Source organism: Homo sapiens, chromosome 3 (genome assembly GCF_000001405.40).
Source record: "Homo sapiens chromosome 3, GRCh38.p14 Primary Assembly".
NCBI lineage: Eukaryota > Metazoa > Chordata > Mammalia > Primates > Hominidae > Homo > Homo sapiens.
The window spans coordinates 182,249,117-182,264,398 of NC_000003.12; positions in this window are offsets into that span (position 1 = coordinate 182,249,117).

Below are 15,282 nucleotides of genomic sequence, written 5' to 3' on the forward strand. Positions count from 1 at the left end.
AATTATTATAAGAACCTTGGTATATCTCATAGACACTAAATCAGTAGAAAGATCAGTTGAGAACATATATAATAAAGTGTGAAATTGTATTTAAGTTATACCTAAAAAAACAGAGTTAAATAAATAAATAAAATTTATACGTTCTTCAAAAATAAAAACATTTGATATTCACTTTTTTTTTTTTTTTTTTTTTGAGGTGGATTCTCACTCTGTGGCCCAGGCTGGAGTGCGTGACACGATCTCGGCTCACTGCAAGCTCCACCTCCCAGGTTCAGTAGATTCTCCTGCCCCAGCCTCCCAGGTAGCTGGAACTACAGGCACGTGCCACCACGCCTGGCTAATTTTTGTATTTTTAGTAGAGATGGGGTTTCACCATACTGGCCAGGATGGTCTCGAACTCCTGACCTCATGATCCACCCACCTCAGCCTCCCAAAGTGCTGGGATTACAGGTGTGAGCCACCGCGCCTGGTCGATATTCACTTTTAAAAATCTGGCCTAAGCCAATGGACAGAAATTAAACCAATTAATTATGTACAAAGATGAATATTTATTATAGAATTATTATAATGGTAATTATTAAAACTGAACTAAATGTCCAACAACAGGGGACCTGTTAAACCCATGCAATAGAATGTTATATAGTTATTAGAAATGACCAGCCTGCCCAACATGGTGAAACCTCGTCTCTACTAAAATACAAAAATTAGCCGGGCATGGTGGCACACACCTGTAACCCCAGCTACTCGAGGCTGAGGCAGAGGAATCACTTCAATCTGGGAGGCGGAGGTTGCAGTGAGTCGAGATCACACCACTGCACTCCAGCCTGGACAACAGTGAGACTCCATCTCAAAAAAAAAAAAAAAAAAAAAGAAATGATATATGTTGATGATTTTAAAGACATGAGAAAATGCTCAAAATATAATAGTAAATAAAAAGGATGCAGAACTGCAAATGAAGTATGATATCACTTATATGCACCATAACAAGACTGGGAGGAAGTTACCAATTAGCATGCTAAACTGTTTAACAATGGTTATCTTTGGGTGGTAAGATTATGGATGATTTTCATTTTATTTTCTATTATAAATATTTCCTAACTTTATATACTATATGCATATAATACTTTTTAATTGATTTAAAAACACAATAAAAAAAAAACCCTGCACAGTTATAGTTGTTTTAGGCCTTATGAAAGGAACTAATTATTTCTGTTCATAACAAATTCCACTAAACTTTATAATAGATATAAAATACGAGTTTTGAACAGAGTCCACTCCCACCCCCAGATCTCCCAGTCCCCAAGAGATTCTGATCTCTAAAGCTATTCACAAATTGCAGCACCTGCCCCACCCCACCCCATTGTTTTCTCTATCCACTGGTAAATTTCTGTCTTAAAACCCACCTTATTCTTTCTCTCTTATATTAATGAGGTAGAAAAAAAAAGATAATAAACAGCCACACTGAGCGAGAAGGTATATATGGGTGCTTTGTGGCATTTTGTTGTTGTTGTTGTTTTGTTTTGAGGTAGAGTCTTGCTCTGTCACCCAGGCCGGAGTGCAGTGGCACAGTCTCGGCTCACTGCAACCTCCAACTCCCGAGTTCAAGCAATTCTTCTGCCTCAGCCTCCCCAGTAGCTGGGATTACAGGCATGCACCACCACGCTCAGCTAATTTTTTTTGTATTTTTAGTAGAGATGAGGTTTCACCATGTTGGTCAGGCTGATCTCAAACTCCTGACCTCAAGTGATCTGCCCACCTCGGTGGGTGCTTTGTTCTGAGTCAAAACAGTATTATAAAAACAAATATATGATTTTTAAAAAAGCAATCCCTTGTTTTACAAACAATTCACATTCGTAAGTTCACCTTTAGAATCTACAGCAATGAATTTAAAATACAATTTGATTCTTCTTTTTTTTTTCCTTTTGAGACAGAGTCTTACTCTGTCGCCCAGGCTGGAGTACAGTGGCACCATTTTAGCCCACTGCAACCTCCACCTCTGGGGTTTAAGCAATTCTCCTGCCTCAGCCTCCCGAGTAGCTGGGATTACAGGCGCCCACCACCAAGACTGGCTAATTTTTGTATTTTTGGTAGAGTTGGGTTTTCACCATGTTGGCCAGGCTGGTCTTGAACTCCTGACCTCCAGTGATCCACCTGCCTTGGCCTCCCAAAGTGCTGGGACTACAGGCATGAGCCATGGCACCCAACCACAATATGATTCTTGAAGATACGAGTTTCCCCAGCTTCTTTTCTCAGGATCCATTGCTTTCTCCATCTCCTGTCAATCTCCAGGTTCCCCTTAGACAACTTATCAGGCTCTAATTTGTAAAGAAGCTCAGGCAGAGCTGCAGTGAAACTGACTGGAAAAGGTTGTTCTTCAGGCTGGGATTAACTTAAGGCAAGTGAGACACTTGCTTTGGGCACAAAATTTAAGGGTTAGGAGGTGGGGGGAAACAAAAAAACTCATAATCAAGCTCAACACTATCTCAATGTAATATTTTAAGCATCAAAATTAATGCAAAAATCAATGATAACCAAACATTGAAATTTTGAATAAAGTCCAGTACCATGCCAAGATGCCAAGCCACATTGGAGCCTAAGGTGAAAAAAAAAAGTACACCACCAGTAAACATGTTTGTATCTACTTTTTTAGCAGTTAATTTTTCCTGGAACATTAAAGTAGTTTAAACCTTTTGAAACACTGAAATGTGGGTGTATTTTTATTCCTAAAGGAACGAAATGATACAAAAATCACTCCTCAAATTCAGTGATTTCCTCAAAAGCAACCATAATGAAAAGGCCCCAAGTTCTGGGCCAAACATTTAACAAATATAGTGTCTTAAGTCCACTTAATTGTGGGTTAAAGTTCCTATCCCAGGTTAGGAACTGAGAGTCCAGATTCAAGGAGAAGACGTCCTGCAACTATGCCATTCAGTTCACAAACATTTACTGAACACCCACTGAATGTACAACAGTGCGTAAGACAGACAAGAGGCTGATATCGTGGGACTCATGTTCTACTGAGCCCTTCATTGGCTTTTCTTGCTTGTTTGTTTTTAATGAGTCTTTATTTCTACCCAAGCTTTTCTTTTTCAAGCTGCTGTAAATTTACTCGCTGCTCATCTATGTCATTCTTTGCGCTACTGAAATATGCTCTCTTGCTCTAACTCTTGCATTTCACACTGGACCTCTATATTTTCAGTGATGGTATATTTTCCACATGCATAAGTCTTTCCTTTCACACTGCCTTTGCTTTTCCTATTTCTTGCTTTGCTGAGCTCAGTGCTTTACACATAGTAGCTGTTCACCAAATATTTGAGGGTCACTTGATTGTTGAATGAATGAACCAGTGAAAGAATCAGCAAAGGAAGGAACAAACAAATCAATGTACCTGGTCCCTGGAGAGGTGGAGGGAGGAAGGGAGCAGCGTCTTCACGTGCCGTCTTGCTGTTTTTGTATGTTCCATATACGAATGTGTGATTGTGTATGCATTGTTTGTGTATGTTCAATAGCTGCACCTTCACAGGTGGGATAGAAACAGCAGGATAAGCCCTTCCCAGTTGTATTGTCTCAGAAAGGACACGAGACTGGGAGATCTGTGGTATGTGAGGCAACTCATTCCCCTTCACTGAAAGGGTCTCTGTTTCCTCATCTACAGAATAAGGGAGCTGGATTGTGAAATCTAAAGTACCTTTCAGTTCTAACGTGGATTGCATTCATTGTTTCTAATGCTATTGATACCCAGTTAGTGTAGGTGCCAATAAGCACTGCCTTGGATTCTCTTGTGCTTTTGGTTTTCTTGGAAAAAGAATGCCCTTTAACTCTACAATAGAAACATGAGTCAGGAAAAGGGCACAAGTACGGCGTTTCTTCTTGACGAAGATTCCAAGAAACAGCTGTGTGATTCTAAGACATCCCTCTGTTCTCTAGTAATTTTAACGTTAAAATGAAACCTCAAACAATAACCTCAGGTTTCATCTAGGACAAAATATCTCTGGTTTAGCATGTTCTACTTTGAGAATTTTTGTACTCAGGTATGGGGTGAGGGTAGAGGAATATTATTTGGCTTTTAAATTAGCCTTTAAGGAAATTGGCAAATCAAATGCCAGATCCTACATACTATTACAGTAACTAACATTTGTGAAGTGTTTTACAGTTTACACAGAAATTCTCACATTTATATTCCTATTTAAGCCTCATGACAGTCCTGTGGAGTGGGAATTCCTTACCATAATTCTCTTTTTTTTCAATGTGAGGAAAATGAGCTGAACTTGGATGCCCACCTTCAGATCCCAAATCTTCAGCCCCTTACAGACACAGATTTTTAACATCTCTTTCAAAGAGGAAGGATCCCAAATAGAACAGGCATCCAGCAGTCTGTGGCACTGTCTCTCAAAGATGAGGGAAAGCTTTCTGCTTTGGAGGGGTAGGTGAAATAAATCAGTAGTTCCGCCAAACCTGGCCTCATCCTAGACCTGTGGACTCAGAATCTCCAGGGAGTGATTTACATTTCAGTTTTGAAAAAATTTGAAATTTTTTCCTTTTTTTTTTTCTTTTTAGAAATAGGGTCTCACTCTGTCACCCAGGCTGGAATGCAGTGATGTGATAATAACTCACTTCAGCCTCAAACTCCCCAGCTCCAAGTGATCCTCCCACCTCAACCTCCCAAGTGTTGGGATTTCAGACAACGAGCCACCGGGCCTGGCCTCAACATTTTTTTCTATTAAAAACATTTCTTATACAAAATTTTAGTTAAGTATTTATTCAGTGATAATGCATTTGTTTTTATTTCTCCACTTGATGAAAAAAGTTGCAACACTATGTTTGGTTCCCTTAGTTTTTAGTTGTGTATATCTGGCTGTCTATGTATTTCTAAGAACTTTTTTGGACTTTTTGTATAACTGAAAAGCCTAGAAAACAGTGATGCATACCTATTACTTTTATTATATTAATTCCCTACATAGAAATCTCTAATGATCTTTCATTACTACCAGACTAAATACTATTTCCTAAGTCTAATTTGATGACAAGCTGCCTGTTTGATTTCATCTGCTCTGGGTTTTTTTATTTTAAGCTGTAAAATGAGGTTGTTTGACTAAATAGTCTCTAAAATAACTCTTAGCTCCCACATTCTATAGATTTATAAGTGTCATAGATATGAGTACAGTGGCATTTAAAGAACAATAAGCAAAACATTCTTAGGGAAGGCTCTTCCTGAAGATGGGAATAAGAACGGCTTGGGAAACTCCACATTTCCTCTGAAGGGTATTGGCCCACTTGAGTGTGGTTCGGTTGTCAACCACAGAAGCAAGAGCTCCACCCACTTCTGGTGAGGTAGCTAGAGGAAACATTCTTCTATTGAATTGAATTCTTACGCACATTTGTCAAAATATAATTAACTAGAACATCATGAAGTAAAAGATAAAGGTCGTTCATTATAATATTGACGCAAATATAAACTGCCCAAATGATGATCTAATGTTAACTTTCTCTAACGTATCACACTTAGATCTTTCAAGATTTTTGTTTTATTTAATGTTAAGGACTTGTATCTCTTTTTGAGTAAACTAATTCATTTCTCTTTCCTTTCTTCCTTTCCTTTTATCTTGCTTTCCTTCCTTCCTTTCTTACCTTCATCTTTCTTTCCTTCTGTCCTTCCTTTCTTTTTTCATCCACTGGCATCTTTAAAGGAAAATCAATATCACTATGACTTGTTTTAAACCATCCTATTACATGCACGGAAAGGAGTAAATCAGAGCAATGAATGTGTGTTGTGAAAATGTATAATAAAGTGGTGATAGATGACTATTATCGTGGTTGTTATGATACTGTCAAATTAAATGCATGTACAATATGTCCATTCAGAAATCCAGCAAAACACAAAAACTATTCCCTTTTTTGCCTTTTTTGAAGCTTTGTTTTAAAAAGACACCTTCCTGTCACCAGTGCTTATAAGTGAATAAAATGAAATTGATGCCTTGCAGGGGAAAAAAAGGAAAATACTTCTTTACTTTGTATTAAGAATACGTGACATCTTTGCTGTCAGTGATAGTGAAGTGAAATACATACCAAATATGTCTTGACATAACTTGACAGAAATGTATGTCTTCTTTTCTCTCATTTATTTTTGTGATAAGAATATGTGATTTTGCTGCCAAGGAAGCTTGTAATGTTGTAGAGAAATGGAAATGAATTGTGTTGGGCATGTCCAATTCCCCCTGACAGAGTGGCATAAGCTATAGTACTCAGGCAGCCTTGCAGAGTCAACAACAGGCCTCAGCCAGCAAGACCCAGGCGCTGACATTTGTCAAAACAACTTTCCTCAACACATCAAAATGTTCCTTTCTCTTTTGTGTTATTCAGATGTGTTCGGGTAACTACATTTTAGAAAATAGTGACTGTCAAAGAATCATTGCCATCCACATGTGAATGATATCAAGAGAAAAATCTTAACTTTCCCACTGAAGGATGAGTTTATTCCATTTTGATCATTCATAATCCGTGAGGGTCTTTTAAATTAAACCCCAAATCTAATGTAACTAAAAGTATGCTATTTTTTGTGTGTGCTTTCTCCCCTACAATCTGACAAAAGTAAATGACACAAGTTGGTTCTTTCTAATTTTCAAAGCATTACACAGATGGATGTTGTGTGCTGGTGTGGGTTTGGTTTATTGTTCTTGAGTTCATATGCTTTTTACCATCACTACCTTTCTTAGAAGAACTCAAATTATGTGGGTACCATTGGCCCTTTAGAAAGCATTCTATTCTTAATTTCTTGCTCTATTGCTATGGAGCAGTGAATGTTAGGTGAGGTGGGTACTAAGTACAACAAAATGGTATTTTATGTGAACCTCCAATTCTGTCTTTTTGGTACTCTTTTAAGGATACACACAATTTCTAGAACCCTAGCAACAGTTTCTACAATAAATGGTGTTTGAAGCAAGAATCCCTTACCTAGGGCAGACAGAAAGAGAATCAGCCCAGCAGTGTAATCATTGCTCTGCTGTTTGAAGGAATATTGAGCTCAGATGCCTCCAGAAAGCCCACCAGGCCCAGAGGCACTGGACAATAAAAGGGGAAAAATAATAGACGCCAATGCTTTATTAAGTATATTTTTTTCTCACTTAGGTGCGCATTCCCTGGTCAGACAATTAGTTGAGGTTCTTTCCAGAGAAAGTGTTACCCACCAAGAAAAACTCTTTTAACCTTTCAAAATAACAAATATCTTTAATGACTTTTATCCCCTTTCCATTGACATCACAGATACAATGTGGCCTGTCTTGAAGTCAAGCCCAAATTGAAATCACTGCTGGCAGGGACAGGAAAAATAGAACATTTGACAATAAGAGTGACAGATGAAGCATTGGGGACCTTGAAAGGGAGAATAACTCAAGCTATGACCCAGGACAGAAATACTGCACCTTAGTAAAATACCTGCCCAATCTGTAAGTTAATAGGCAGGTACATTTGCACATGATAATGGGCTAAATCCAACGCTTGGTAGAGTTGGTATTATTTTCCATGTTCATGTTTAAAAGGAAAGCTGAACATGCTTCATAGAAAGAACCTTTTGATTATAGACCAACTGTTCATCACCACACTTCCTGGGGAAAACATTTTTATTTGGTTATATAAAAGGGTAACATTTGTTAGAAATATATCTAAAGATAGAACTTCTGAAATTTGTCTACTCTTGCTACAAATGATTATTTAACATTTATAAGAGTAAAGTTAAAATATTTAAATGTACATGTGTGTATATATATATGTGTGTATATATATATGTGTGTGTATATATACACATATATATGTGTGTATATATATGTGTGTATATATGTATGTGTGTGTGTGTATATATATATATATATGATAAAGGCAACTTCATATAATATCATATAATATCCCTTGATTCATTGGCGGAAAGGAGAAACTTTGTATTTCATGACTTATAAAATCCATTAGTTGCATCTCAAATTTCTTTTTTTTTTTTTCTTTTTCATTGTACTTCAGTTCTGATTACTTGGATTAGGGGGAGAAAACTCAGTAGGATCTGCCAATTTTTAGTGATTTCTGTCATCAATTCCTGATTGCCTAGGATTGCTTTGTTGTTCACCTTAGATGCCTTTAAAACATGATTTATTTAAGCCTATTCACTCTTAGTTGGTTTGGTGATTGGTAGTAAAGTTGTTTTGGTGTCACCCATTGGAGTGAGAATTTTCCCCACATGATGGCCATTGTAGGTCTTTCACATCAGGTGTACTTTACTTCTAGAGTTGTCAGAAAAGAATTTAACTCCAGTAATTAATTATTTGGGATAAGTTTCCCAAGGAGTCCTCAGCTTAGGCTACATTAGAGGCACTGCATTCTATTCATATAATATGAAACCTTTTAGGTCATATGAGTAATTAAGTTTTACATCATTGTGAAATAAACACATACGCCTACGATTTCACCGAAGCATGTAAGTGGATGGTTAAGAAGCAAATGTGTGTTTCCCTTTGTGGATAATAATGGCAGACAGTCATATTGTTTATTTTGCCTTTGATATGAATTTAAATCAAATAAAGATGGTTCAAGTTAGCACAGGGAAAATCCAGTTGCTTCCCTGGGTCCATCAGCATCTTAATCCGTTTTTCAAATGTTTTGGAGTTTTGCAAAGCTTGAAACTTTTTTTTTTTTTTTTACCATGCCCCCTTTCCCTTGTTTTATAAGCCAATATAATTTTAAAGAAAAACTTAATCCATATGTTTGTGATTCATTTTTACTAAACTCATCAAAATGGTGTTTTGTAAGAGTGATTTGGTGTCCAACAAGTCTTTTGAGTCTCTCTGTAACAGGCCTTCTTAATGCCATTTCTCTTTGAAGCAAGAAGTTGTGTTTTGCCAACAGTAGAGAAATTCAAACCCCCAAAGGGTTGAAATCAGTTTGAAACTTCAAGCCTAAGGACTCTGTGGGGTTCTATACTTGGCAAATGGCTACTTCCCTTCTAACTTTGAAATACCTTATTTTCCTCTCACAAGAAATGCTCTACTGTTTTGCTAAAATATGTATTTAAAATAATCTTCAGATTCTTTAATACATAAAAATATATACATTAAAAAGTGGGGCCTAACGTTTAATTTATTCTAAAGCAATATTATTTGATTATCCATTTGGATTTTCCTTTAATTCTCATTTTCTGACCCTACACATCTTTGTGATTTGGATTTACCCAAAGATTTACCAGAAAAGATGACCATGATGATCCTACAAGCTGGAAATAAGTGCTGGGTAGTTATTGGCTTTCTTCCCCAGGTTGCTCAATAAAGGACATATTACTTAATGTAGTACGCTAATGTCTCACACTATATTTCATACTTTTATTTATGTTGACAACCAAAACTTCAATGCAGAAGATTTTGAATAATATGCTCTATGTCACAAGGTGAACCATAATTCACAGTTGTAGATGTTTGCTAGTTTTTCAATGTAGTTCATTTCTATTTATATGTTTAAAGGAAGACCTGTATAATTTCCGTTAGTTTTTATACAATAGGCAAGAGGAGAGAGAGTGAGAAAGAGAAAACAAAATAGTATGTACAGCAAGTTAAATATCCAAACCACTATGGTCCTTTGTCCTGACTGCTTTCTGGCCATGAAGTGGGAGTGCCCTCTAGTGAAACTTTAAAATCATTGGAAGATATTGGGTGTAACGTGGTTAAGGTTTTCTCCTAAATTCTTTTCTTCAAAAATCTTTGGGCATTAACAATTTGCATAAGTTTTGAATGAGAGTTAGAGAAAAACACAAAATACCATCAAGTAAAACTATTTCTTTGGGAAACAAATACAAATGAATACATTACTGTCAATATCAAAAAGTACATGTCTGCATATCTTTGTCATCTATCTGTTTATCTATCTATCTATCTATCTATCTATCATCTATCTATCGAAAGATCCCAAGGACACATAAGTAGCATATAACCCACAACAGGGCTATAGTTATCTAAAAGAAAACATATAAAAACATAATTACCCACTTCTCAAGAAGATGAATAATAAATAAGTTACTTTGGAATGTGAAAATAAGGCAGTAGTAGCAATACACACGAGTAAATAAGAAGTGAAAAATACATCTTGTCATCTATATTATTCCAAATCTCTTTGTAGAAAGCAGCACATGCTCATTGTGATAAAATCTGAAAAAGTTCAAGGCCAGGAGTCAGAGTTCTTACCCTGGACTTCACTTACCAGCTGTGTGAGCTTGGGCAACACATTTAACCTCTCTGAGCCTCAGGGTCATCATCTGCAAAATGGGGCTTAAGAACACCTGCCCTACCACCTCATAGGGTAGTATTGAAGGAGATAAAGTATGGGAAAGGGCTTTGAAGTAGATAAAGTTCTATACTGTGAAGGTATTATTTTTCTGACTTCTTTCTACTGAGGAAATTTCAAGCAAAGTCCCCTTTCAGGATGAAGAGGGAAAGAAAGAAGACCCTCCTAAAATTCTCTGGAGTCAGGAATCATTGACAAAACATCTTTCTTCCCAATCAAAAAAGAGTCACAGAGAAAGAAACAGGTGGCGCCCGAGGAAGGATGCAGGGTTAGACATTACCATCGTGGAGCCGCCAGCTCTCCCGGACTAGGCTGACGCCCACGTGGAGGGCCCTCGGCCAGGAAGCATGGCCTGGGCAGCCTGTGCTGGAGCCGGCTGGGCAGCAGCTGGTGGAGGAGTCAGGAACCGCGTCCCCTCGGGTTTACAGCAGCAAGAGTTTCCGTGAGTCTAATCTCCACCTTGCACAGAGAGAAGCTCAGCAGCACGTATGCTCCGCACCTCTGTGCTTTTAATCCCCCTCTCCGTGACCATCCATGCAAAACCGTTCCCTCTTTGTTGTCTTTTCAAAACTGAAAATATTTTCATTTTGTTTATGCCAACATAATAAACTCTTCATCTGAGCAAACAATCTGATTTTTCCTTTTAGTTGCAGTGAGTTTAATTTCAGATTTGTGCTGTAACAATTCCTTACTTTTCTCCACATAAAGCTTGTTTTCAGTGAGATGTGGTTTCTCACTAGCTGTGTTTGCTTTGAAGAGAGTTTTACGTACTTATTTTTAAAATCAACTTGTATAGGCACTTTAAATCAAGGTATTAAAATTTTCAGAACATTCAAAAACTGTTCCCTTTTTTTTTACAACAACATAGGTATCTCCTATGTATTTATTGCCTAGATTTTCACTATTTATCTTCTGGATGTACATCTTTCTTTTGTCCGGAGTGAGAAACTGTTTCTAGTTTCTTTACTCAGAGGTACTTCACATTGTCAGACATGCATAATCAATCTTGTACTTAAACCTTTGTGAGGAACACAACAGATGGATAATGGGAACATGGTTGCCATTTGGGGTCTGGTCAATTCATGAGCTGCCTCTACAGCCATGACTCTGGTGTATAGGAGAAAAACCATAAAGTTAATCTCTAAAGCTATCTGACAGGTCCCATGCCTGCTGTTTATGTCCTCCCTCCCCATTTGATCTAAACAGTTGGCATGGGGGTTGAGGGGTGCCACTTCTTCCTCAGAATAAAATTAAATAAGATATTCAGCAGGTCTTCAACTGCTCACGGATTTATCCAAGATAAGTGACCAGTTTCAGTTGAATGACTGGGGCTCCCATGTCATAAAATTGCTCTTGGCTAAAGCTAGAGTTCACTTTGTCTAAGCTACATGCTCGTGTATTGCTGGAGCACCACGACTTCTCATTGAAACTTTGGGTTCCTTCTGTATTAGAACCTTCCCTGACCTTTGCTGAACACCACAAAGAAACCAAATGCTAACCTCTGTTTGTCTCAAATTTTCCCCTATTAATGCTTGGTCCAAGTCTACATTTCCAGCCAGTCTTTCATTTAAAAACACAATCTCATTCAAAACCTGCCTGGTAACTTTATCACTGGGGTAACTGTTACCTATGATGCAGGGCTGACCTGGGTCCTTGTAGCACTTGACATCATCTTTTGGACGGGTTACAGAGCCTTTTGAGGGAGTTGTTAGAAGCAGGCTCACCCTGCAATGCAGAACCGGTCACAGAAGAAAATTAGTGCATTTATCTGTCAGCATTAGACTAGATTTTCAATCCAGTTCACTAGTCACAGGGTCTGGTTTTCTCTTCCTCTGGGAGATGAAACTGATATGCTGGTAGGTAGTAAAGGTGTCAGTTATAAATTGGACCGTTGCAGCACGCACACACGAAAAATAGACGAGAAGACTTTAAGGCCATAAATTTAGTTCAAGGCAAAGAATTTCCCTAAAAATAGTCCCGCTTGTTAAAACACTACAGGAAGAATGTATGTCAGGTAACCGTTGGCATTATCAGAACCAGTTCACATTTCTTTTATAGGAACCAATGTTTGCAATTCTCTCTCCAGTGTGCTATTCCTTTTAACTACTTGAGGGAAGACAGGATTTTGCTGACTCTGGTGCTAAATAAATAAATACCTTGATTGGTTCCTCTTTACTGTTTCATACATGAGTGAGGATGCAGCAAGTCTGACTTGCAAACAGAAGGGGCAAGTTTGGCAGACACCATCAAGTTTCTCCCTATGTTCTACTTACTATTTACCTACCATTTAACTAAATGGGACTCCAGTATCAACTCAAAAGAAGCATATGACCTTTTCTTAACTCACTGAGTGATCCTGTTCTAAATTGGTTGTTTCCTACCCTCAATCCTATAAAATTATTCAGGTGGAAACCCTGAAGACCAACCTAATGTTAATGACCCATTACTCAGACATAGCACAAACTAATGGTTAAAGTAAGAATGTTCAGTGTCCAGTGACTCCCATACTTCAAACCAATAGGGCCCATATGCCCACTCAGTTTGATAAATATTGAGTGTCTGTTGACCCGGAACCACTGTGATGAACTGTATGGGTTTACACATACTACCTCTTGACTCAGAGAGCTAATAATATAGATTGAGTGATGATCTCCAACAACTCACCATAGAATAAATCAGAGGAAAATAAGAATTCAGTGGTGGTAAGCATCAGTAGCATATTATGAAAAGAACGAATGAAGGAATCCATAATATACCATATAGGTAGTAGTTTAATTCATTTATCATTTAAGCCTTTATATATGTCACCAACTACACATCAGGTATTGTGCTAAATATTGAAGATTTTAAAAAACCCTCCCTCCATGCAGCTATATTCTCTCAAGGGTAACAGAAATAAATAACTACAATCCATCTTTATACCCACCTCTTCCTTCCTCACTATATTGTGTCTTCTCACAGGACGGGCTCATCTTATTCATCTGTGTCCCTAGGAAAGCACCTGGCCCAGAGCAGGTGCTCAATACATGTATTTCAAAGGAATGAATGAATGTTAAAATGTGATATGTGTGATAATGTTTCTAAGAAGCTTCACTTTTCCTGGATGATAGGGAAAGTGTGTTGAAAATTAAGATGTGGAGGATGACTCCTAAGTTTTAGTAGGGCTCATAGTGGATAGGAATGCTACCTATAAACTGATACAGAGAACACAAAGGAGAACTAATCTGAGGAAAGGGAAAGGGAGAGACACTGAGCTGAATTTGGGATGAGTTGCACTGGAAGTACTAGTTGTATGACATTGAGCGGGAAATGTCTAGTAGGCTGCTTAAGGATTGGCTGAGAGCTCAAAAGAAAACTTGGAGTTAATTTATCAGTATATTAAGAACATGTAGATTAGGAATAGTATTAAGGACTGCTTTGATCTAAGTATTTGTGTCCCACCTCACCCCACCCCTATTTTTATGTTGAAATCCTAACCCCCAAGGTGATGATATTAGAAAGTGGGGCCTTGGCTGGGAGCGGTGGCTTCCGCCTGTAATCATAGCACTTTGGGAGGCTGAGGCAGGCAGATCACGAGGTCAGGAGTTCGAGACCAGCCTGGCCGACATAGTGAAACCCCATCTCTACTAAAAATACAAAAATTAGCCGGGCATGGTGGTGGGCTCCTGTAGTCCCAGCTACTTGGCTGACTGAGGCAGGAGAATTGGAGATTGCAGTGAGCCAAAACTGCGCCACTGCACTCCAGCCTAGGCAACAGAGTGAGACTCTGTCAGAAAGAAAGAAAGAAAGAAAGAAAGAAAGAAAGAAAGAAAGAAAGAAAGAAAGAAAGAAAGAAAGAAAGAGAAAGAAAGGAAGGAAGGAAGGAAGGAAGGAAGGAAGGAAGGAAGGAAGGAAGGAAGGAAGGAAGGAAGAGAAAAAGAGAGAAGGAGAAAGAAAGAAAAAAAGAAAGAGAAAGAAAGAAAGAAGGAAAGAAGGAAGGAAGGAAGAGTTTTTCAGGATATAATTGGTTTATGTCACAGTTGGGATTAGTGCCCTTATAAAATAAGCCTAAGGGAGCTAGTTCACTCTTTCCACCTTATGAAGGTACAGCAAGAAGGTACCATCGATGAACCAGGAAATTAGCCTTTATCTGCTGACACCTTTATCTTGGACTTTCTAGCTTTTAGAACAGTGAGTAATAAATTTATGTTGCTTATAGCCACTCAGTTTATGGTATTTTGTTATAACAACGCAAATGGACTAAGATAAGAGCTAAATTCAACTTAATAAATATGTATTGAGCATCTATTATATTTGAAGTAATCAATTCAGATATTTGAGCATCTACTATATTTGAAGTAATTAGTTCAAATGGGTAATCCCATTTGATTAAGGAAATAATCCTTAGACTGGAATATTTAGCATCTAGTAGAAGGCACAGGTTAACACTTAACTCTTTGTTGAAGATGAGAATGTAATGTCTAGGTGGAGAATGAAAGCCCCCAGTAAAGCTGTGACATAGCAAAGCAGGGGGCTCTGGACTCAGGCTGCCTGGGGTTAAATCCTAGATTAGTGTGGCCTTGGTAAATTACTTAATTTATCTGGATTATTTGTTAAATACAAAGAATAATAGTATCTCTTCTTAGGATTCCTGAGTATTGAATAAAACAACACAAAAAGCAGTTACTTAGTAGAGATTGAGTGCTCAAATATTAGCTATTGGAGAAAGCCACATTATAAGTTAGTGAGTCAGTTTTCAATCTTTCAGTGTCACATCTCTGCAGCTCTCATTATTCACAGAGATAAAGGAATAGTGATGTCATAAACTGAAGAAATAAGAAATACCATACATGTCAGAGAAATTTATTTCAGCCTTATTTCTGTAAATTGGTTCTGATTTCTAATTAAACATTTAGGAAACAAAAGCAATTCCAAAGTTGGCATGGATGCACTGGATTCCTAAACCATTAGCAATTGATTGAATGAAGAAAG